This window comes from Homo sapiens, chromosome 9, assembly GCF_000001405.40.
Source record: "Homo sapiens chromosome 9, GRCh38.p14 Primary Assembly".
Lineage (NCBI taxonomy): Eukaryota > Metazoa > Chordata > Mammalia > Primates > Hominidae > Homo > Homo sapiens.
The window spans coordinates 81,898,102-81,921,290 of NC_000009.12; the positions used below are offsets into that span (position 1 = coordinate 81,898,102).

A 23,189-nucleotide genomic window follows, 5' to 3' on the forward strand; every position below is an offset into this window, starting at 1 on the left:
CTGTACCCCTATTGAAATAAAAGCTATTGAAATAAAAATGGGCCAGGTGCGGTGGCTTATGCCTGTAGTCTCAGCACTTTGGGAGGCCGAGGCAGGTGGATCACGAGGTCAGGAGATCGAGACCATCCTGGCTAACACGGTGAAACCCCGTCTCTACTAAAAAATACAGAAAATTAGCCGGGTGTGGTGGCGGGTGCCTGTAGTCCCAGCTACTTGGGAGGCTGAGGCAGGAGAATGACATGAACCTGGGAGGCGGAGCTTGCAGTGAGCCAAGATCCCACCACTGCACTCCAACCTGGGCGACAGAGCGAGACTCCATCTCAAAAAAAAAAAAAAAAAAAAAGAAAGAAACATGAAAACGTTATGTATGGATTAATTTATTTACATAACTATTCATTCATGGGTCCATTTATTTATATGCTAAGCATAAAAGTGGAGAGATGCATATCTTTTACTTAAAAATTTTTTTCTTTTTCTTTTCTTGGGTTATCTTCAGACTGAAGAGAAACAAATATAAAATAATTATATAATGAATGAAAGATTTGCTGTAGTGAAAAGTGCCAAGAAAGATACCCAGTGGGTACAGTGGAAGTATATGGAGTGTGGGGTGAGTGCTGCTGATGAAAAGAAATGGTCTAGGGAAAAGGGGAGTGCAGAGCCTTCCAGGCCCAGGAAAGAGTCTGCTCAAAGGCCCTGAGATAGAAGGGAGCATACTCAGACAGGGAACCGAAAGACAGGGTATCTGGAGCAGAGAGAGCAAGTGGATCTATGTCCAGAAGAAAGGCTGTTTCCCAGAGCACACAGATTCTCACAGGCCCTTTTAGGAAGCTTTGTCTTTATCCTAAATGCAGAGGGAAACCAGTGAAAAGTGGAGTGGTTTTGGTATGTGTATTATTACATTTTTGTGGGAATTACATTGGCCAAATGATAATTTGCTCTATTGTTTATTTTTGTGTTGACTACGCCAGTTTCTTTAGGACAGGAACCATAGCTTACATTTCTTAGAGTTCCCAGCATTTCATACTATACAGTAAGTAGAGTTGGGGAACAAAGAAATGTGTGCTGCCTGTTCTATTTCAGATTCTTGAGGGTGAGGTTTTATGTAAACACACTTACAAAGAAACTAAGTTGGCTGGGCACTATGGATCATGCCTGTAATCTCAGCAGTTTGGGAGGCTGAAGCAGGTGGATTGCTTGAGCTGTGGAGTTCAAAACCAGCCTGGGCAACATAGCGAAACCTGTCTCTACAAAAAAAAAAAAAAAAAAAAAATCAACAACAAAAATTAGCTGGGTGTAGTGGCACGTGCCTGTAGTTACAGCTACTTGTGAGGCTGAGGCAGGAAGACCACTTGAGCCAGGGAGTTTGAGGCTGCAGTGAGCTATGATTTCACCACTGTACTCCAGCCTGGGTGACAGAGCAAGACCCTGTCTCAAAAAAAAAGAAAAAAAAAAGAACTTAGTTAACCAAGTCCATTGGATAGCTTGCTATGATATGCAATTTGTGTGAAAATGGTGAGAAATGAATATGGTGGATGGACAGCTGGTTATCCATTACTAACTTGATTGAAAAAAACTGTTTCTTAAGTGTTTGGGAAACTAATAGCCAGGGTTAGTTGCGGAAGAGCCTACTTCCTTTGTTCCATTAAGTTATTTTATTGCTCATGATGTTTCAAGTTTTGCCATTACAAAATCATTATTCAGGCCTTGAAAGACTCTTTGGTCTTTAAAAAATCCTCTTTGAAAATATAAGTACCTAATGTCGGGTAAAAGATGTACTAAATTTGTCAGCTGACATCTTTGGGATATTTTGATGGGCTCCAAATATTAAAGATACACACACACACACACACACACACACACACACACACACACTTGGGTTAGAGCAGACACATCTGTGATGTGGAAGTGAAGTTAGTTTGGTGGCCAGAAATGAGTATCATTTTGTGAATATTGGCAATGATTCTGCCATTGACTATCACTGAATCTGTCTGGAATTAGGTTTCACAGTAAAACAGAGTGCTTGTCTCTCTAATCTCCAGGACACTATGAAATTTAATCATATGATGAGGAAAAGTGTGATGAACTTTGGGACGTGAGCTGCTTTGTTATATAAGCTGAGCTGGTGGCACTGTCTACACAAAGCCTTTGTATTTCCTTCCTTCCTTCCTTTCTTCCTTACTCCCTCCCTCCTTCCCTGCTTCCCTCCCTCCCTCCCTCCCTTTCTCCCTTCCTCCGTTCTTCCTCTCCTCTCCTCTCCTCTCTTCTCCTCTCCTCTCCTCCCCTCCCCTCCCCTCTGCTCCCCTCTCCTCTCCTCTCCTCTCCTTTCCTTTTTCTTCCTTCTTTTCACAGTTAATCACAAGCCTTTAATGAGACAGGGCCACAGACCTGATCACTTAACATCTGATATAAGGAAGGGGGAGGTTAAATACATGTGCAGGGTGTCACCGAGCCACAGGCCAGGAGTGTGTTGGATGGGTCTACATGATCCATATGGACTACTAATCACGGGAGTTCCGTGTGGGGGCAGGACCAGGTGGGGTGGGGTATCCCAGTGCCTGCTGCATAGCTCTCTGGGGATCTGGCCTCCTCTCAGCTCAGCAGCCTGCAGGGTTTGCCTGCACCATGACACTCACTGGTTTTATGGCAGGAGGCAGAAGCCACCTTGGACTCTCAAAGTGCTGGGATTACAGGTGTGAGCCATCGTGCCTGGCTGAATGATTTTTTAATAACGACAATTTTAGATTGATTCTCAAAAATACCTGCGTCAATAGGGCAGACTCTGATCTTGGTGCCCTCCAAAGAGTTGCCTGTGTTCTCATTCCAGCAATCCAGGGATGGGAAGAGACCAATGTAACTTTTGCTTTACAAAGAGAATTTTCATACCTAATCTCCCAAAAGTATTTCTAAGGATGCCTCAGTGTCAGGTGCTGGGCAGCATGGCCAAGAAATAGCTAAGCCAGGATGCTGGGGATATTTGCATTCTCCACTCACTCTTCCAGCAGGCAAATTCTGTTTTGCAATTTGTTATTACATGAAAAAAAGGAAGTGTTTGGGAAGCAATGTAGCCTGTATTCTGTACTTTTTCTACCTTTGTTTGAATGCCCTTGGTTGACTTTGCCTACGAATGTAAATTTGAGAAATGACTGGAATGCAATTTTTTAAATTGATGTATTTAATACCTTGTTTGAGTAAGGATTGGAAAGGGCTCAGAAAAAATAATCTTGGGTAGTTTCCTTAATATCCAAGCCAAAGGTGGCAAATATGTAGCAAGTTTATTATCAGTCTGACCCCTTTCCTCCCTTCTCCTACCAGATGTCACTAACAGAGCACTGCATTTTTTTTTTTCAGACAGACCCTCCGAATCCTTAAAATGTGCCCAGATAGCCACCATTATTAGAATTGGCACATGAGGTGCACTTACCTTCCAAAGCTGATCTTTGGAAATACTCCCAAAGTATTTCTAGATGTGAGAATCTTGAGTGATGTGAGTCACGTTTTAGTTGGATTTTCATACGTTTTCAGATAGATTTTAGTTAGATTTTCACAAAAAGCATTACTATCTTAATTGTTTGTGAAGTTCACTTAGGCAAAAATTATGTATTTCAAGGCAACACAAGATAAAACTTGGTGCTTTTTGAGCCCTCCTCTTGGTGCTGGTAGGTTATTTAGGGCCTTGGAAAGGAAGAAATCTCATATTCTGTGTCTAAATTATGTTAAAACTGTGCAGACATCCAGTTTCCAAGGTCCCTGAGAGAAAACACACATACAGACACACACATACACACGTGCATGCAACAATGAATTAAGGAGAAAAGAATTAAACCTATGTTGGCCTCAGTTTCCAATTTGTAAAATGAGAAAGCAGACGGGGTTTCTCAGTCAGACTGGAAAGTTCTCCAAGGTCACTTCCAAGAGTGTAGCAGACATCTCACCTCCTGTTGCCCGTATTAGCCCTTCATGGACAGTGAGATTAAAAACACAGGTTGCTCTCCAGTGAAACTTTAATTGCAGAGCTTTAATTAGAAAAAGAAACAAAATACTCTTAGATTATGTTTTTTAAATTTTATTTTTAATTGTGTTTTTATTGTTTCCATTTTATTTCAAAAAGAGAAATGAAAACCTCAAGTTTCCATCCCCATACGACTTCTTTAGCAAGTTAACTAAAACGATTTTCTAAAATGTACTTTTAATGAAAAACTCCAATCTCTGAAATTTGTCTTGAACATTTTTTTTTTCTTCAGACCTCTTACAGGACTCTGGAGTTTCCATATCTCAGTGCCAAGAGCATAGCAAAGGAATTTGACTCAATTTAGTAATTACCTCATGTTAGTCTAGCTCAAAATTGTTTTGCTCTTAATGGCTTAGGAGAGCCATTTGGATACTTTGATTCTAGCAATAAAGTTCCAATGGGAAGGTGGGTGAATGGGCATGTAATGTTTAGCTTATTATAATGGCCATAGCCAAAGCTTTTCCAGAGTAAATTTTTACTAGACTCGGACTAAGGATGGGTCACTGTGGAGGAAAGCATGAGAAAATAGGAGGGAGAAAATAAGTCTGGGAGAGTCCTTTCCCTCTCCAAATTAAGCCCCAGGATTATAGTGGACATTTGTTTTAGTCCTTTCTCATAGCCAGAGGGAAAGGTTTCCCCAGCATTCTCCCCATGTGCTTCCCGGATCCTGACACACCCTTACTGTATTAGTCAGTGTTCTCCAGAAAAACAGAACCAGTAAGATACATATAAGCTATGGCCTGAGAACCAAAGGGGCCCATGGTGTAAGTCTCAGTCTGAGGGCGGGAGAAGATTGATGTCCCAGCTCAGGCAGGAAGGTAGAAAAAAGGGGCAAATTCTTCTTTCCCTTATGTTAACTCATAAAATTAACCACACACCAACGCTTCAGAGTGGAGCATGTACATTAAGCCACAGATTCTAAAACTATCTGTGGTGAAGGACTCCCCACCCCTGCATCCACTGTGGATTGATACTTGTGTAAAATACAAAAAAAATGAATCAACGAAAAAAAATGACACACAAGGCCGGGCGTGGTGGCTCAGGCCTGTAATCCCAGCACTTTGGGAGGCCGAGGAGGGCAGATCACGAGGTGGGGAGATCGAGACCATCCTGGCTAACATGGTGAAACCCCATCTCTACTAAAAATACAAAAATTAACCGGGCGTGCTGGCAGTAGCCTGAGTCCCAGCTACTCAGGAGGCTGAGGCAGGACAATGGCGCGAACACGGGAGGCAGAGTTTGCAGTGAGTTTGAGAGTGTTGGCAAGAGGGCAAAGTGAGGCACCCAGAGACTTGATGAAAAGTGCATTTAGACCCCAAAGCTCTCATTTCATAAAGATTCTAATATGGTTGGTTGTACTACAAAAATCTCAGAGAGCAACAAGCTTGGACAAAATGTAACTTTATTGCCATGTATACTGAGTATCCTCAAATGGTAGCATATTACTGTAGTAGCGTTTTTGGAAAAGACTCCTCCTTGGAGACAATATAACCAAGTGCAGTGTGAAATCCAAGAACAGACTTCTGGGTGGTGATGTAGGTAAATTGGGAAGATGTCATGGGGTAGTGGTGAGACAGTCCCACTCTACCAGAAGCCACCTCTGCCACCTCCCAAAGGCTGCCTAAAATGCTCTTGTAAGAGCTTATTACAAGGCATGGAGGTAGATACATGTAGAATGTGTGAAATGTTTTCCTGGGAGGAATGATATTTTAAACTTTTATACATTAATGGGAGTCATATGTAACATAGTTCTTGAAAGCAAGTTTTAAGAAGAGGATAGGAAAAAAAAAACCCTATAAAGAAAATGATGCTAAGTGTGGAAAGAAAAAGTTACCTAAGAGGTGATAGAGTACCAAAATAGTTTTTCATTACTTCTCAAATTTGTCAGCATTTAATGGGCAAAGTGAATATTCTTAGCTATACAACTGCTTTAATTTTAGGATTAGGGGATACTTTTAATTTTACAAAATTACATATTACTATTGTTTAAAGTGGAAGCATCGAGAATGTAGAGAATTTATTCATTAGAGCTCTAATACTTATTTGCTGTCTGATCTAGAGAAGTCACTTACCCTCTCTGAGCTTTGGTTGCATTCATTGATAAAATAGGCACAATATTCAGAGAAAATCTAAGTGCCTGTTGTAATAAAAGCAAATTAAAAGGGAAAAAAACAAAAAAAAACCAGGCATAATACCTGACCTGCTAACCTCATAGGTTGTGAAAATGCACTGAGATGGCTGGAAGTAGACCTCTTTATAAGGTAGACAAATCTATTATTTCTAGTTGGTGCTAGTGCAGAAAGGATAAGTGGTGTGAAGCACTGCCACTCAATGTCAATGGAATTTACTGTTGGTGGTACAAAAAAAGAAAATAAATATATCTCTAGTCTCTTGTTCCTTTAAATTTTGAAGGAGCTTCTACCAGGTTCAGAAAGGGAATCTTATTAGCATTTGGGGAAAAGCCTTTTTACTGAAACTTCTTGAAGCTTTCAACTGTGGGCACACGTATGTTTGTAAAGATATCTAGCTAATGAATGACATTTTAAAAGAGAGAAGCTGTTCTTTGACCATCTTCTCAAAGAATTATTAATTGGTATCAGAAAATTGGAGAGGGTGGACATGCAGGGATTTCTTGCTAAAGAGCATGATGTGTCTGAGGAGTTATGACCCACAGTATCTGATCTGTTCCAGAGATCGTTTGGCGATTGTAAATGCTGGAGGCGGGGGAACTCTCCTCTACGTTTGTATAGATCTTGAGCTGTGTAGAACTAATTGCTCCAACTGCACCAGGAGGTCAAGGGCAGAGCCGGTGGCTTACAGATGCTTGTGTCTCCTAGTTTCCAGCAGTAAATATTTATTAGATGAAAGCTTGACTGAGACTGCATATCAAAGAGAGGAGGAAGGGGCATCTCTTGGCAGATTTTATCCTCAAGGCAGGTTACCTTCTCCTGTATAATTGAAAGGAGACCTGGCCTGGCTTGAAGGCTGTCTTACCCCTTCAAAAGGGATCAAATAGCAGTGGTGGCCCATGGGTGTCAGATAAAGGGCTTCATAGTTTAAGAAAGACATGAGAAATTAAGAGACAGTTCAGAGGACAGCTGTCATGATAGAGTTTAGAAAAGAATGTGTAGGAAGACGGGTTAGGGATGGGGGATATTGGGATCATTCAAACCTGACAAGAGGAGCCTGAATAAAGTATGACAGGCAGTTGGTATTTGGATATTTGCACGGGTAATTATATAGAATATAGAGCAGTTGTTCTCAAGTTTTTTTGGATACCAAGGCACTCAGGAAAAGATCACATGTACATGGCCCACAGTGTAGTCAGGTGAGGTTGCTTAAGACTACGTTCTGCTCTAAGTCTTTGACACACCTAAGTCTCACTCTGCCACCAAACACTGATGGGATCAATAGTATCATCCAAAAGACTACCAAGATGGTTAAATAGTAGAAAGGAGAGCCTCATTGCTCTTATCAATTTGCAATCCAGGAGGGGAAAGCATCCACTGTGGAATGAAGGTGCTGTCTGTTGGAATAGGGGAAGGACAGGTTGGGTTTTATATTCATATTCACACATATTCAACAAGTTTGGGGGAAAAGCTATATATATTTATGCGGGAGCCGAGCACACCATAATGAGTAAACATATGTAACATACATCCCATGTTGACTTTGGAGTGGGGGTTTAGCACTAAAATGAGGTAGAATTTGGCCCTTTACATCATAAGGTGAACTACAGGATGCAAATGTGGTTCGTGTGCAGCCTCTATAAGCTGGTAGAAACTGGCAGTCTAATATTAGTAGCTTATCAGAAAAAGACGTTTGTAAGGCCGGTCCTCTGTCCAATCAGAGCTGATAGCTCGTTTGGTTAGAGGCAGTCTATTTATACAAAGTTAGAAATTTGCCATGCCATCCAGGCCCTGAACCCTTGACCCATCGGTAACTTTGTTTCCTTAACCTAAGGATCTGTCTTGGTTGATAAAGGGGCATCTATTTTGGTCTCTTAGATCACAATAGCTTAGGGCACTGTAACCTATCCCTGCTTTAAGGGAGTTGCATACTTGTTACCAAATTGATGTGGAGGGCTGGGCCTGGTTGTGTTTGAGGTAGAGTTAGAAAATGTGGGGTAAAAATGACAAGAGATTGAAATAAAAGGAGGAACTAATTGATTCTGGATTTGAAAATACTGATAGATTTGTCACAGGATGGGTGTGTGGGTGTGTTTGTAAAGAAAAGAACTTTTATCTGAGGACTGTGAGTCCTCTTAAGTTATCAGGCCTAGAGAGACATTAAAATGAGGCAGGAATCATGGCCCTACTTCCTCCTTGAGCTATGTATTCATCTCTTGAAACTGCCTGGTATTGCCACATGTAGCTAGACATTAATCAAATAATGCCACACCTGACAATATAACCCACCCCCTATAGCTTAACAACGTATAGCCAATCACTAACCAATGTCATTTCTGTAAACCAATGAGAATTCGTGATAACAACTTTGTATCAGCCCACTCCTTGTCCCCTTTTATGACTTTAAAAACCCACTTGTAACTGCTGCTAATTGGAGTGTATATTTAGGTCGACTTGCATCTGTGTTCCCAGGTTGTAATCCTCAAGCTTGACCCAAATGAACACTCTACTTTGATAAAAGAAAAACTTCAGCCAAATTAAATTTAAAGGAATTTAATTGAGCAATGAATGATTCATGAATTGGGCAGCCTCCAGAATCATAGCAGATTCACAGAGACTCCAGGGGTGCCTCGTGGTTAAAACAAATTTATAGACAAAAAAGGTAAAATGACATACAGGAATTGGAAGTGAGGTACAGAAACAGTGAGATTGGTTATAGCTTGGCATTTGCCTTATTTGAATGCAGTTTGAACATTCAGCAGGCTATGAGTGGTTGAAGTATGTCCGCTGGGATTGGCCAACACTCAGCTGTTGTTACATGTGCATACTATTGAGTTAGGTTTTAAATTTTTCTGACTATTAAGCTAGGTTACAGTTCATCTATGAGGACTCAAATACAGAGGTGCAGAGTCCTTCTCAGGCCATATTTAGTTTGCTTTAAAAATTCCCCCCTTTTGGTCATTTTCTCAATTTTGAGAGATTGTCCATAACATTAGTCATTGATGTTACTATCACGATTGTAAATGCACTTATATGGTTTTGAAACCCACTGGGAAAGAGTAGAACAGTAGGTTTTGCAAGGAGAGAATAAAGACAGAGTAGAGGGAACCTCCTTACACTGGAGCATCCTGTTTATAGGAGAAAAGCAAAACCTTGTCTGTTATAGGATCAATTTTCTTTTAAGCCTTAGTTTGATTATGTCACATTTAGCATGAGTGACTTCATTTTAGTTTGGTTTGGTTTGGTGGGGCCAAGTGCATGAGGTCAGTCCAAAATAATGGCCTCCCATAATTTTATTTAAAAAAAAATTCCCCCCTTTTGGCCAGGTTCTCACTTAAGTGAGAATGTGACCAAAACTTAGGGCCTTAGTGCCACTCTCAGTTACCATCATTTTGGTTTCTGGTCTCAGCATGTTATTCATAGGTTACTGTGTCCTCGTAGTCACACATTTCTTTCAGCTTTTGCCATTCCAGTTGAAGAGAGAACATTTGGTGTTCTAGAGATGGCTGTGTGCAAACATTTAAAACTTTTGAGGGAATACACCCCACCAGGGAGACTGTTATGACTACTGGGAGGATAATACCAAGAGTTTGGAGTGTGACCCTTACCCAGGGCCCCCATAAACCAAAGGACATAAAATTAAATAGATTAAAGAATGAGCTAGGTGAAGAGTCTACTCATGTGACTAAGTGGATTTTTCATTAATCCCTTGAAACTGAATTTTTATAATCTACATTTTATGTGTTTCTCCATAGGCCACAAGTGTCAGCAGCTGCAAAGGCACTTTTCTGTTTAGCCAATTCTATTATTTAGCATAACTTTCAGGAGAGAATTTAGTCTGTTGTGTAATGATAGCCTTTAAAGTAGAATTTGCTGTAAAGCCTATTACGAGGGAGACATTTCTAATTATTGCTTCTTTTATTCTAAGTCATGGAAAAAGGAACTAACAAATGATGTCCTTCTAGAAGAGTGAAGGCCTCATGGCAATGTTCTCTTTAATCCATGATGTGTGTTAAGAGGAGTTTTGACTGATTATAAAGCAATGTATGAACCACTAAACTTTCTCACCTACATTGGGCCTTCATCTTCTATCAATTAAAGTATAAGTTTATTCATATATAAGGCTGGCTGCAAAATCATTCACAAATAAAAGTTTACCCTGTAAGTTTACATAATAGACCTCCTTTTCATTTCTATTGTTCATAGAGGCATAAACACAGAAAAAATATTCAAAGATAAGAGTCTTGTGATAGTAGAAGTCTTGATCCGTGATCTTGGGAAAAGCTGTTCACATCAGGGATGCCATCTTCTTCTGGGGAGAAACTTTCCTGGTTAGTTTTACCTTAAGGGTACCAATGGAGGTACAGTTCCAGGAGTGTGGAGGAACTCTTCTCAGTTGTGAGATTATGACCCCAAAGTTCAAGGCTCCAGTTTTGCTGTAGTGTGGATGGCAAGGACAGTCTTTCTCTGATATTCTCAGAAGATCCAATCAGGTTCTAGATTGTGAAGGGATTGTCCTCAGTGAACCATAAAGAGCTTTCTTTACCTAGTGAAAATACACTGTAGCATAATAATCTACTGTTATAACATCAGCCTTCTTGCATGGGAAAGCTTTTATACAACAAGAAAATATGCATTGAAAATGACAATTGCATGAAACCCCTTTATAAATGTTTATATGGCCCATCAGGTACCTGAAGCTTTGATTGTCTTCCCAGGAATATGGAACCAAACATTGGTTTTAAGCTATTTCTGCAATTGATAAATCATCACATCAATATCTTCAATTTGGATTATTTTATCTCTTCCATGATGAGTCATGGAATGCAGAGCCTTTAATAACAAAAGCTTTAAGGACTCAGGAAGGATAAGGCAGCTGTACTGTTTCTTCATGAGTCCATGCTTAACAATGGTCTTATGTCCTCTTGAATACCAGTTGTTTCTCCAATTTGGGTGCATAGCACTGACAACTAATGGGTTATCATAGATAATTTGACTTAGACCATGGAGTTCATTCAAATTGTATGTTTAAACAATTTTAGTATTGGCTGATTTAGCATGATAATCCAGAGCTTGGTTTTGAAAGGTTTATTAAATACCACAGGTTTAAAATGTTGGATATTACAAAATAGAATCTTAGGTTACCATAAGTCATTCATTTAGCCAAAAAGATGACTGAAAACTTTTTTTTAAAGGAAAAACATCATTCTGATAGAGAAGAGACTCAGCTTCCCAAACAAGACCCAATGAAGATAGCATGAGGCCAACTGACTCTCTCTTCTTTCCTTCCCTTCCCCGCTTTGTCCTTTGTAGTTTACTTAAAAGGTAAACAAAAAACTTTCATCTTTTAATACTACATAAAAATCCTTTTTAAAAGAGAAAATCCAAATTTTATGTTTTTATTAGTGTATTTTTAATGCTAAAGCTAGTTTTTAATAACATCTTATAAATCTATTCAGTTTTAACTAATTTGACCATAAAGTAAAATTTTTATAAGCCTTTTACAACCCTTTACAATTTTTTTTTCTCAGAGCAGAACAACGTTCTAAGAAAACTCTGTTGTGCTTTTATTCCAATGTCCAATTTATAGAAAAAACTGAATAATGCCATTTTAACTTTAGCCAATTTGTTCACACATAGAATCTCTTACAATCAATTTTTCATAAACTTTCCACAACTTGTTCTAACCTTTAGCTTTATTTAATTTAAAACAATCCTTTAACCCTCTAACCTAGGCAAAAAATTTACATTCTCATACCTTCATATAATCTCTTATAAAAAACACATTTCATTCTCCTTACACATCTTGAATCTAAACCTATTTTTTCAGCAGTCTCAATTACATATTACAATGTTAACTCTTAGCAACTTTTACTTTTGGTGAAAGCCTTGGTAAGTAAGGGATTTCAATGATGTACTAGGTGTGGAGCCTGGGACCCAGACAGAAATGCAGATAAGGCCTGACTGTTTCCAACATCTAACTACATGTGTTCCAGGCCTTACCAAGCTGTAAAGCTTGCAGGCTGTACAGTTAAGAGTCATAGTGGCATTTTGTGAAGCATTTAGGAGGCCTAATCACCTTTAAATTGTACGACATTTCTGGCATAAATTCTTTTTTATAAATTCTTTCATGACTTACACAGACCATGTACAACATATTTAGACTTTCTGACTTGCCCTAAATATCCCTCTTTTTAAACAACCAGTCATTTTACTTCAGGACAAGAATTTACCATACAACATCCTTTCTTATATAAAATCTCTTTTTTTATAACGTTCTTTGCATAGCTAGGGGGCATGGTTAATTCCATAAATCCCCAGGCCTTATTTAGAATATAACATCTCCAAAATAAATTGAACAATTTTCAAAAGTCAAAGTAGTTTATGACCTTAAAGCATTTAGCAGACCTAATATCTGACCTGCATAATTGAGACAAAATGTCATTATTTTATTTATTTATTTATTTTTGAGATGGAGTCTTGCTCTGTCACCCAGGCTGGAGTGCAGTGGCATGATCTCGACTCACTGCAAGCTCCATCTCCTGGGTTCACATCATTCTCCCTCCTCAGCTTCCAGAGTACCTGGGACTACAGGCACCCAACACCATGCCCAGCTAATTTTTTTGTATTTTTAGCAGAGATGAGGTTTCACCATGTTGGCCAGGATGGTCTCGATCTCCTGACCTCGTGATCTGCCCACCTCGGCCTCCCAAAGTGCTGGGATTACAGGCGTGAGCCACTGCGCCTGGCCAAAATGTCTTTATTTTATCAATAATCTTTAAAGCTGTTTTTATTTCCCAAAGATTACTAAAGTTACATGAACTAAAAGGCATTACAGTTTTTATTTTGCTTTCAAAATATTTGATTTAAGTGCTTGTTTTTGCTTAAGCCAATTAATTAGAGCTCTTTTATATGAACATTACACACAACACATGTATAATTACACAGACAGAGAGAAGAAGATTACTACAATAATTGTAAGATTTTTCATTTGCCAGTTTTTAAGTTTCTCAATTGCTTACTGGCTTTATGGTGGAGTCCTTGGAAGAACAGGGCCAAGAAAGGGGTCTCTGGTTCCTCCTGTTTTTCCCAAGGAGTCCAGGCTTTTAGAGCTTAAATATCCACTTTTAAGTAAGCCGACTTTTAACCATAGTACTCTTTAATAAAGTCTTTTAAAATTTCTTATTACCTTATTTTAGCCAGGCCAAATGGCTGATATTTCTGGCTTTTGAACTTTACTGAAAGTAACCTCCCAGGTGCTCAGAGAAAGGAAAATTTAAGACACCTGTGGAGGAGAAGAGACTATACAAGGTCATGTAGATATTAAACCAGAAAGAACTTACTTTCTAAGTAGGGAATCAAATCTGACTGCCAGTGTGAAAGGGCAATACCTTAGCTACTGAGCTACAGCACAGGGCACATCACAATAGCTAAGGACACTGTAACTTGTATCTGGTTGAAGGGAGTCATAGACTTGTTATGAAACTGATGAGGAGGGCTGGGACTGTGTGTATTTGAGGTACAGTTAGAAAATGTGGGTCCAAATGACAAATAAGAGATTGAAATAAAAGAGGAACTAATTGATTTTGGATTTGAAAATACTGATTGATTTGTCACACTATAGGTACGTGGGTGTGTCTATAAAGAAAGGAATTTTATCTGAGGAATGTGAGTCCTTTTAAGTTATCAGGCCTAGATAGACATTAAAATGAGACAGCAATCATGGCCCTACTTCCTCCTTGAGCTATGTATTCATCTCTTGAAACTGCTTGGTATTGCCACGTGTAGCTAGACATTAACCAAATAATGCCACATTTGACAATATAACCCACACTCTATAGCTTAACAAAGTATAGCCAATCACTAATCAATGTCGCTTCTGTAAACCAATGAGAATTCCTGATAACAACTTTGTATCAGCCCACTCCTTGTCCGCTTTTTCAACTTTAAAAACCCATTTGTAACTGGTGCTAATTACAGCGTATATTTAGGGTGACTTGCATCTGTGTTCCCAGGTTGCGATCCTCAAGCTTCACCCAAATGAATTCTCTATTTATATTGATTTTGCCTGAATTCTTCTTTTTGGGTCGATGCGTATGTGTGTTTGTGTATAGAGCATGTTCCAAAGGTCTTTGAACAGTTTAAACTTCACTAACTTCAGAAAAATAAGTGTTATAAATTCACCCCCAAGAACCTTGAAGTTTTAATTATATATGTTTATTTTATACTCGTTTTAGTTTTGAAGATGTTAAATAATGAATTATTAGTTAAACCATGCCCCAGAGAGTTAAAAAGCCAATGACTAACAAAAATTATCAGTTTACAGGATAGCAGATTAAACAACAAGTTGCTAAAACACCAAAAATGTCTCTGCTTGTAAGATTAAAAAACCGGCTAAAATGGATTAAAACTAATAAGGCCAACTGGAGTTGGCCAGAACAGGCTTGCTGAAGTCATAGGCCAAATTTCTACCATGTTTCAAACTAACTCCCCCAAAATGTGCACATGCGATCCATGAAGTAGCGTTAAACAAAACTGTGCATGCCTGAGGATGTCCCAGACCTCCTCTTTCCTTCCACAGATCACCTACTAATCCCAGAGGCCACCTCCTAAACCTTTTCTAATAAAAAGATTGCATGAAAGCCAGCACACGGGACAGATCTGAGCTGGACTCCTGTCTCCTTGTTGGTGTAATGTTCAACATTCACAAAATGAAGTAAGTATAAAGGAAATTAAAGTTTCATATCTGGGTTAATGTAAGGCAAAAACATTCTGTAGATAAGACGGATTTGAGGACATATGTGATCCTGAGAGTAGCAAAGCCTGGGTACAGCAAATATTCCAGGCAGTATTTCAGGCTTTCAAGGCAGTGTAGTTGGTGGGGTCCAAGTTAAGGGCTCCAAACAGTAAAGGGGGACTCGGATAATACCTGGTTTACTGTTGGAACAAACCGAAAATTCGACTAAGGTAAATATATGACATGAAGAAAGGATGGAGTTGGGAAACAGAGTGTCAGGGTAGGACAGAGGGACCTAGAGGGCCCAGGAGGGGTGGAGACAGCTGGACGGGTAAAAGGCAGGGCTGTGGACACACCCTTCTCTTCTTGCTACCCCCACCCTCAGAAACCGTCTATGACTCTTCCATGCTCTGTGATGCAGGTCTGGGCCTATAGTTAAGACTGGGCACCTACAACACTCAGTTGCCTTAGGAAGCCATGCTATTCAAACCATGGAGAATATCCTCTGTTTTCTAAACAGCTATACTGAGACAGGGCTTAGCCCTGACTCACCTTGTTTGGATGGATATTGACCACAACTGCATCTACTTGAGTGGGTTGGGGTTGTTTATGCTGTACTTTTTCTATGTGGTATTGATGCTGTGTTTGTCAACCCTTGGGAAAAATAATGATATCCAAAAGGTAAGGAACTGTGGATGAACACCCAAGAGAGATTCCCTCTTGTTGTTTCCCAATCCCATTTCCACATTTCTAAATAAATTTGGGTGGTTCAGAGAGATGTCTTAGATGGGAAGTCTGAAGAGAGGATAGAACTTCATTCTTCTATGGAAGAGGTTGGGCAGATGTAGGGGTTCAGAAGGACTAAGGTTTCCATATGAAGCTCATAGACTACCTATCTGGCTGTGGTGAAGAGTTACAGGATAAAATCCAAAACACAATAATTCTGTGGTCCTGGATTGAATTATTTAGAAAATGTGGGCTCTCTGAAGGAGAATAGTCTCTCCTAAAGTTTGATCATGAGTCAGATTCCCATGTCACCTGTCACTTGACCAAGTCTTCCTTCATGTTGGGCTGACAAGAGGAGTAATGCTGATAGTCTCTGAGCAGAGGCTGGAACCAGAGTTCTGTCTGCGGGACACTTGTCCTGTGAGGGAGCACAGATGTGACTGTTGGCCTCTGAGTCTGTGCCCTCCTTGAGGACTGCTAACTGAATACATCAAGTGTGGTTTGCACAGACAAAATCCTCTTTGAGTCTTTCAGAGAAGGAAAAATTGGAAATATTTTATCACCTTCAAAAATTGATAACAGGAACACTTTTCTATTAATTACAGAGTCATATTATTCTTGTATAATGAATGAATGTGCTTCCTAGAGGAGTGAGATAAGTGAGTCCTAGCCTCTCATTATCTTTCTTTCATTCTCAGCATCAGGGCAGAGCCAGGAGGAGAAAGAAAGGTGGGACATATAAAGGTAATGTCGACCTGCTCTATCTGAGCTTCAGGGTGACCCTTCCTGTCTCTTTCATGAGGACTCAGTCCCATGACTTCTTAGAATGTCAGTTACTAGATACAGTCTCAGAAAACAGAGCCCTCAGAAGACAGGCTCATGGGAAAGCGATAAGACCTGAGACACCGCTCAGAGGCCCTGCTCTGCCCATCCATGGGCAAGACTTAGTGATGGACCTGAGCAATGAGTGTTGCCCAATAGGCAGCCAAGTTAGATATCGAGGAAGGACTACTGGTTGACTTGGAGTCAGAGCTTCTGTCTCACAACTTTGCATAAGTAATTTGACTTCCTTGATGCTCAGATTCCTCCTGGAGGTAACCACTGATGTCTATGTTTCACGTGGTGGTTTTGAGCATCACATGGGGTAATGTATGTGAAAGGACTTTACTAATGATGCCACATACACATGTGAACTTGTGAATATTATCAATGACTATTTGCCCTTTTCTACTGATTCTTGGGACTATCAGAGTTTAATATCCCAAGGGTCTTCCACAGAGTGACTTCTGTATGAGCCATGTGCCTCTACCTTCATTGCATATAACATACTGTTCTGCTTTCCCAGACCGGAAAAGTTTCCAGAGAGAAGCCGAAGAGGAAAGGAAGTTGCTTTCTATTCTGAAAAGGTGATTAATCATTCCCCTTCTGTCCTTGTTCCCACCCCCCCCTTTTTTTTTTTTTTTTTTTAGCACGTTCTATTCACTTCAGGGATTCCTTGTAGCCTGCTATAGTTGTGGGCGTGGGTCCCCACAGGAATGGGTATGTGAATTGAATGCACTGGGGAGAGGCTACAGAGTGCATAGTGAGGTCATGGGTGGGGGGCAATGTGAAACAGGTAGCAGGATTCAGGGGCCCCCACCCCTGCCAGGCTAACAGACCCTCCTTTCTTTGTTCTCGTCCTGGCTGCAGCTTTGGACCTCCTGCTTCCTGCAGTCCCCTGGGTCAGCATCATGATACCACCCGCTTTCATCGACTGTTATGCCCAGACCCCGTCTGTCAGGTGTGTAACAGAGCAACTGCTGATATCCAGCGACTGCTGTCTTGGGAGTCCCTGAAAGATGCTGTTCCCTTTGTGTCCCCTTTGGCTTCTTCAGCTTCTGCGACTGAGTCATCATTCACTCTGGCTTCCACCCCCTCAGCAACCACTCCAGAAGACCTAATATTGTCCCCGCAGCCTAAGCCTTCTCTACTGCCCCACTTAATTCTCTCCCCTGACCTGATCACCACCTTAGCTGACTTATTTTCACCCTCACCACTGAGGGACCCTCTGCCACCACAGCCTGTTTCTCCCTTGGATTCCAAGTTCCCCATAGACCATTCCCTACCCCAACAGCTTCCCTCTCCCCTTTTCCCACCGCATCACATTCAGAGAGCGGAGCCCAGTCTCCAACCTGAGGCCAGTTTGTCTCTGAACACTGTCTTTTTATTTGACTCCACCCTATCCCAAGATATGAACCCCTTATCAAATATTTCCCAGGCCATGAATGCCACTGATTCATGTGCTTGGCATCACGAACCACCAAACCCATCTGCTTTACCACTGGAGGACTGCCCTGTAACTCAGTCTAAAGCAAGTCCCACAGTATTGAAGCCTTTTCCGGAGATGTTATCTCTAGGTAGTTCTGGTGGATCATCCACATGTGCCCCAACAATCAGAGGCATTGACATTCATGCCCTGCATCTTCAGAATTCTCCTGGTGGCAGCCTCATGACAAGGACTTTTTTCCTTCCACTATTGCACCATATGATTTCATGCAAGAGCTTCTTACCCTTCATTCTTCTGAGATCACTATAGGAGGGCACTCTGTGGTCAACCTCACAGAGCCTATTAACCTCTCATTTATCAGTCATGACATTCTGGCACTCCTGGAGAGACAAGTCAAAAAAAGGAGTGATTTCCTGATGTGGAAAGAAAATGAAAATAAAGCAGAATCTTTTCCAAAACAACGTAGGCCAAACTATCAACTAAATTCTTCACAGAAAATGTTAGCCTCAATTGCAGATAAGCAAGACTTGGCAACCTCCCTTCCTTTTTGGGGCCAGTAAAGACAGACTAGAACAACTGCACATCCATCAGCAGCCCCCATATTCTAAGTGTTTTGAGGACCATTTGGAGCAAAAATATGTCCAGCTCTTCTGGGGTCTCCCATCTTTGCACAGTGAGTCTCTGCATCCTACTATTCTTGTCCAACGTGGCCATTCCTCCATGTTTGTATTCTTCAATGGCATTACAAATACATCTATATCCCATGAATCCCCAGTACTTCCCCCTCCCCAGACTCTGTCCTTGCCTAGTACCCAACCTCTACCCTCGCCTCAAACCCTGCCCAGAGGTCAGTCCCCACATCTCACTCAGGTCCAGTCCCAGGCTCAATATCAATCTCCAATCCCAGCCCTACTACCTAGTCCTCTATTTCTGTTTAGGTGTGTGGATTGTGTTTTCATAGACCCCAGGATGAGGCACGGTCTCTTATGCCATCTGAAATTAATCATCTGGAGTAGAACGTGTTGCAGAAAGTGCAGGAAAGTGTGTGGGGTTTACCCTCTGTGGTTCAAAAATCCCAGGAAGACTTTTGTCCTCCAGGTACCAATGCTGTATTGGTCAGAAAGTCTTTCAAGGTCCATGTTCCCATCTCCATCATTCCTGGAGATTTTCCACTCAGCTCTGAGGTAAGGAAGAAACTAGAGCAACACATTCGAAAGAGGCTCATCCAGCGCAGATGGGGCCTGCCCCGCAGAATCCATGAGTCTCTGTCATTGCTACGTCCTCAGAGCAAAATTTCAGAGCTATCTGTGTCAGACAGCATTCATGGACCGTTAAATATCTCTTTGGTTGAGGGTCAGAGGTGCAATGTTCTAAAGAAGTCCGCATCAAGCTTCCCTAGAAGCTTCCACGAGAGGAGCTCAAATATGCTTTCCATGGAGAATGTGGGGAATTATCAGGGATACAGCCAGGAGACTGCCCCAAAAGATCACCTATTGCATGATCCAGAGACATCTTCAGACGAGGATCTGAGGTCTAACTCTGAGAGAGACCTAGAAACTCATATGATGCATCTGTCAGGGAATGACTCAGGGGTGAGACTAGGTCAGAAACAACTTGAAAATGCCCTGACAGTACGTTTGAGCAAGAAATTTGAGAAAATCAATGAGGGTCGAATGCCTGGGACTGTGCATAGTTCATGGCACTCAGTCAAGCAGACAATGTCTCTTCCTGAGAAATCCCAAAGCCAAATTAAACATCAAAATCTGGTAGCATTGGTGAGTGAGGACCACTGCGTTGATACTTCCCAGGAGATTTCCTTCCTTAGTTCCAACAAACAAAAGATGTTGGAAGCCCATATTAAAACTTTCCGTATGAGGATGCTGTGGGGCCTTCCCTGCAAGGTCCTTGAATCCATAGAAATCTTCAAATCGGAAGAGGATATTTCCAATTCCTTTTCCCATTTCTACCTTCCCTCCTCAGCCAGCTTTATTTCTCAGGGAGATTCCAAAGATGGGGTCTCTAAGTCTTGTAGACGAAGCACTTTTCAAGGAGAAAAGTTGGGAACAACAAGCTCAGTCCCTGTCCTTAATCATCCTCAGCCTGTCTCCTCACCTATTGGCAAAGAAGGGCAGGGGACCCTGAGAAGACAATTTTCTGATATTGACCATGACCTTATAGAGACAGATGCCAAAGATGGTGCCTCCACGCCCCTTAGAAGAGGCACTACATATTTTCAAGGAGAAAAATTAGAAACAACAAGCTCATTCTCCATCTTGGGTCATCCTCACCTCGTCACCTCACCTGTTGATCAAGAAAAGCAGGGGACCCTCAGAAGAGAATTCGCTGATACTGACGAGGATCTTACAGAAAGTGTCTGGACAACTGAGGATGGCAGACAGACTTTTCTGCCCCCCACATACAGCATCATAGACGAAGTCAGTCAGAAACAGACTATACTTGCCAGTAGATGCAGCGCAGAGCTGCCCATACTGCAAGCTGGAGTTGGCCGTGATTCAAGGGATAAGAGAGAGAGTGCCAGTAATAATGTTAACAGGCTTCAGGGCAGTGGAAAGACCTTTCCTGTCACCAATGGGTCGAAGGAGATGTTCAAGGAAGAGGAGATCTGTACTCTTCAATCACAAACTAGGAACAACTTGACAACCAGCAAGTCAGGAAGCTGCTTAGTGACAAACGTGAAAAGAAGCACTTCTCATGAAACTGAAATTTTCCCACCAAGAATATCAGTTCCTCAAACTCCTAAATCATCATATCTTAAAAATCAGATGTTGAGCCAGTTAAAGTTGGTCCAGAGGAAGCATAGCCAACCTCAGAGCCATTTCACTGGCATGTCTCTTGCCTTAGATAACTTGAGTTCCAAGGACTTACTGACTCATGCCCAGGGCATCTCGAATCAGGACTTGGGAACTTCCCAGGTGCTGCATGTCCACTTGGAGGTCAGAGGAATCCGTGTGGCACAGCAGCAGGAGCACAGGGTCCCTACGCATGTCTTACAGAAATGCCAAGTTAAGAATTTTTCACCAGCTGCAAAGAGAGTGAGCCCTTTAAGACCCAATGGAGGAGAGCTTGGTGGAGGGGATGCAGGGCTGGGGACATCCCAACTCACTAGAAAGAGCCTCCCTGTTCATAACAAGGCATCAGGAGAGGTGCCTGGGAGCAAATCTTCCCCAACCTTGAAAACACAGCCTCCTTCTGAAAACCTTTTCAGAAAATGGATGCAGACCTTATTGCAGTGGTTTAATAAACCTAGCATAATGTGTGAAGAACAAGAAAGTTCTTGGGAAAAGGGTAGCTCCCTGTCATCATCTGTGCAGAATAGAAGTCGAGTTACAAGTAGAGCTGCTTTTACTGGTGCTACTGAAGCTCAGAAAATTAGGAAAGACACTGGGGAGTTCCTAGAAGAAAAGCTGGGGCATAGCCATGGGATAGATATCACCTGTCCCTAAGAACCCTTTTCCTTCCCAGTGGAGCTTGGGAAAGCTCAGCACAACCCAGAAGTGCAGGTCAGAGCAGAGCCTTTCCAGGGCTATCCCCGCAACTACACAGCTCCCTCCCGCAAAGTGACATGTACCAAATCTTGCAGCCAACAAGCTATCTTTGTTGGACAGAATTATCCTACAAGGATTAGACAGATCATAGACAAGGACAGACAGCCCCAGGAAGTTGAGGCATTTAAGGGGAAGATATTGTATCAAAGGCATCCCCAATCCATGCCCCACAGGGATCCTGTACCACATCTAAACCCCACTTGTCAGCGTCAAGTCACCCTGGTGTGTCCAGCTGTCCCAATTAGTGGCAAAAGCACTGTGTTCAGTGATGTGCCTTTACTAACTGGACACAAAATGCATTGGAAGTATTTGCAGGGAGGCAAATCTCCCCCCACAAAATAATTCACTACTTGTTGAGAATCTTGATTCTCCCTAATAAATGTTCTAATAAGATTGGTGTCTTTTCTGTGTACTGTGTTGGGAGGTATAGGTTTTGGGTAACCCAAGCTTGTGCTTAGGGAAAGGTAGGAGTTAGCTCAGCTCTTACTGACTCCCTCTTTTGACTTTTAAAAGGTGACCAATCCCCTGGAACTAGTGTGAAGGAATGAGTATCATGTGCCTCCAAAAGCCCCTTTTCTCCCTGATCAAGTCTGAGGAGATGGGCTCTTTTCTACCTCTTTGCTTTAGACTTACTGATACCGTATGGCAGCCTGCACCTTCCTCCCCATTCACTGCTTCATATCCTTTAGAGCAGTAAGGAAGGCAGCCCTTCCATATCTGAAGAGAGAGTGAAGGACAGATACATTTTTCAGAAATAGTGGTTTAATCACTATTTAAAAAAAGTTGTCACTGACCACAGGATCATATAAGTTGGTGGGAGTGTTTAGGGTATTGCTGGTTGGGGTAGGGTGTCAGGAACACTGTGGATGCTGCTTAAGAATTTGACAAGCAGGGCATGCTCATGATTTAGGGAGGCATATTTTGACCTCAACGTTGAGGTCTTTCTACTAATAAGTCACTTGGGAAAGTAGTTCCCCTCCCTGTGTATTTCTCTATGCTACCTGGATTGATGACATTTTTACAGAGCAAAAAGATCACCTGGCTGTCTGTGGCAGGACTGCTGACCAGACAACCACCTACCTCCTAGGGTAAAATATAGCTTACAGTAAGGAAAATATGTCTTTGAATGAGAAAGTAAGAAAAAAGTGAAGCTAGGAAAGGATGACCATGCTAGTCGAAAAAGGTTTATGCCCCATCATGCCCATATCATGACCCTTTCTCAATCTGGATCTAGGTACCACCACCTTGAGGATTACCAGGGCACTGAAGAGCTGACAGATGCCATTTTGGCAGAAGTGTACATGGGGCTGTTCTTTAAGGAGTAAAACAGTATCTGCAGGGCTGTTGTCAACATGGCATCCCTCTCTTTAGGGAAGGTGATCTTTGTGCCTTCTTTCTAGCCATGTTGATGGCAACATGCAAGATCTTCCCTTAATGTATACGGTGCACCTCAGGATGGATGTGTCACCTCTGATCTTCATGGGGTTAGTGGAATATAATAAATATTGTGTAGAACACCTGAAGCTCATGATCCAGAGGTGAGTCCTTGACTATGCATGAGTATTACAGACATTTGGAGGCTAGCTATGAATCTTTACAGAATGCTCCTTATGACTAAGAGTGTGCACATATGCACCCTTAAAATATTAGAGGTCTGAAGAGAAGGGAACTCCACTTATACAGACTGGGACTAATAAATGAGGTGAGTTTTCTAGAGGGCACTTGAGGTAGGTTTTCCAGAAAAATTTGTGAATGC

General features: G+C 41.5%; 2 long non-coding RNA genes and 1 pseudogene across 5 annotated transcripts in view; 1 reads left to right on the forward strand and 2 right to left on the reverse strand.

Moving 5' to 3' along the window:
• LOC105376105 (uncharacterized) overlaps positions 1-23,189 on the reverse strand; it is a 91,092-nt gene that overhangs the window by 12,104 nt on the left and 55,799 nt on the right. The window lies entirely within an intron of this gene.
• Positions 10,225-15,244, reverse strand: LOC124902187 (uncharacterized). Of its 2 annotated transcripts, none has more exons than XR_007061607.1 (2): positions 13,482-15,244; positions 10,225-10,684 (listed from the first exon to the last, which is right to left on the reverse strand). It is a non-coding gene; the product is annotated as an uncharacterized LOC124902187 (long non-coding RNA). The 2 variants fall into 2 exon arrangements; XR_007061606.1 differs by having other exon boundaries at positions 10,225-10,698.
• On the forward strand, positions 15,336-21,826 carry SPATA31D5P (SPATA31 subfamily D member 5, pseudogene; annotated as a pseudogene). The gene is made up of 4 exons (NR_026851.1): positions 15,336-15,556; positions 16,300-16,345; positions 16,947-17,007; positions 17,291-21,826. The product of NR_026851.1 is annotated as an SPATA31 subfamily D member 5, pseudogene (transcript).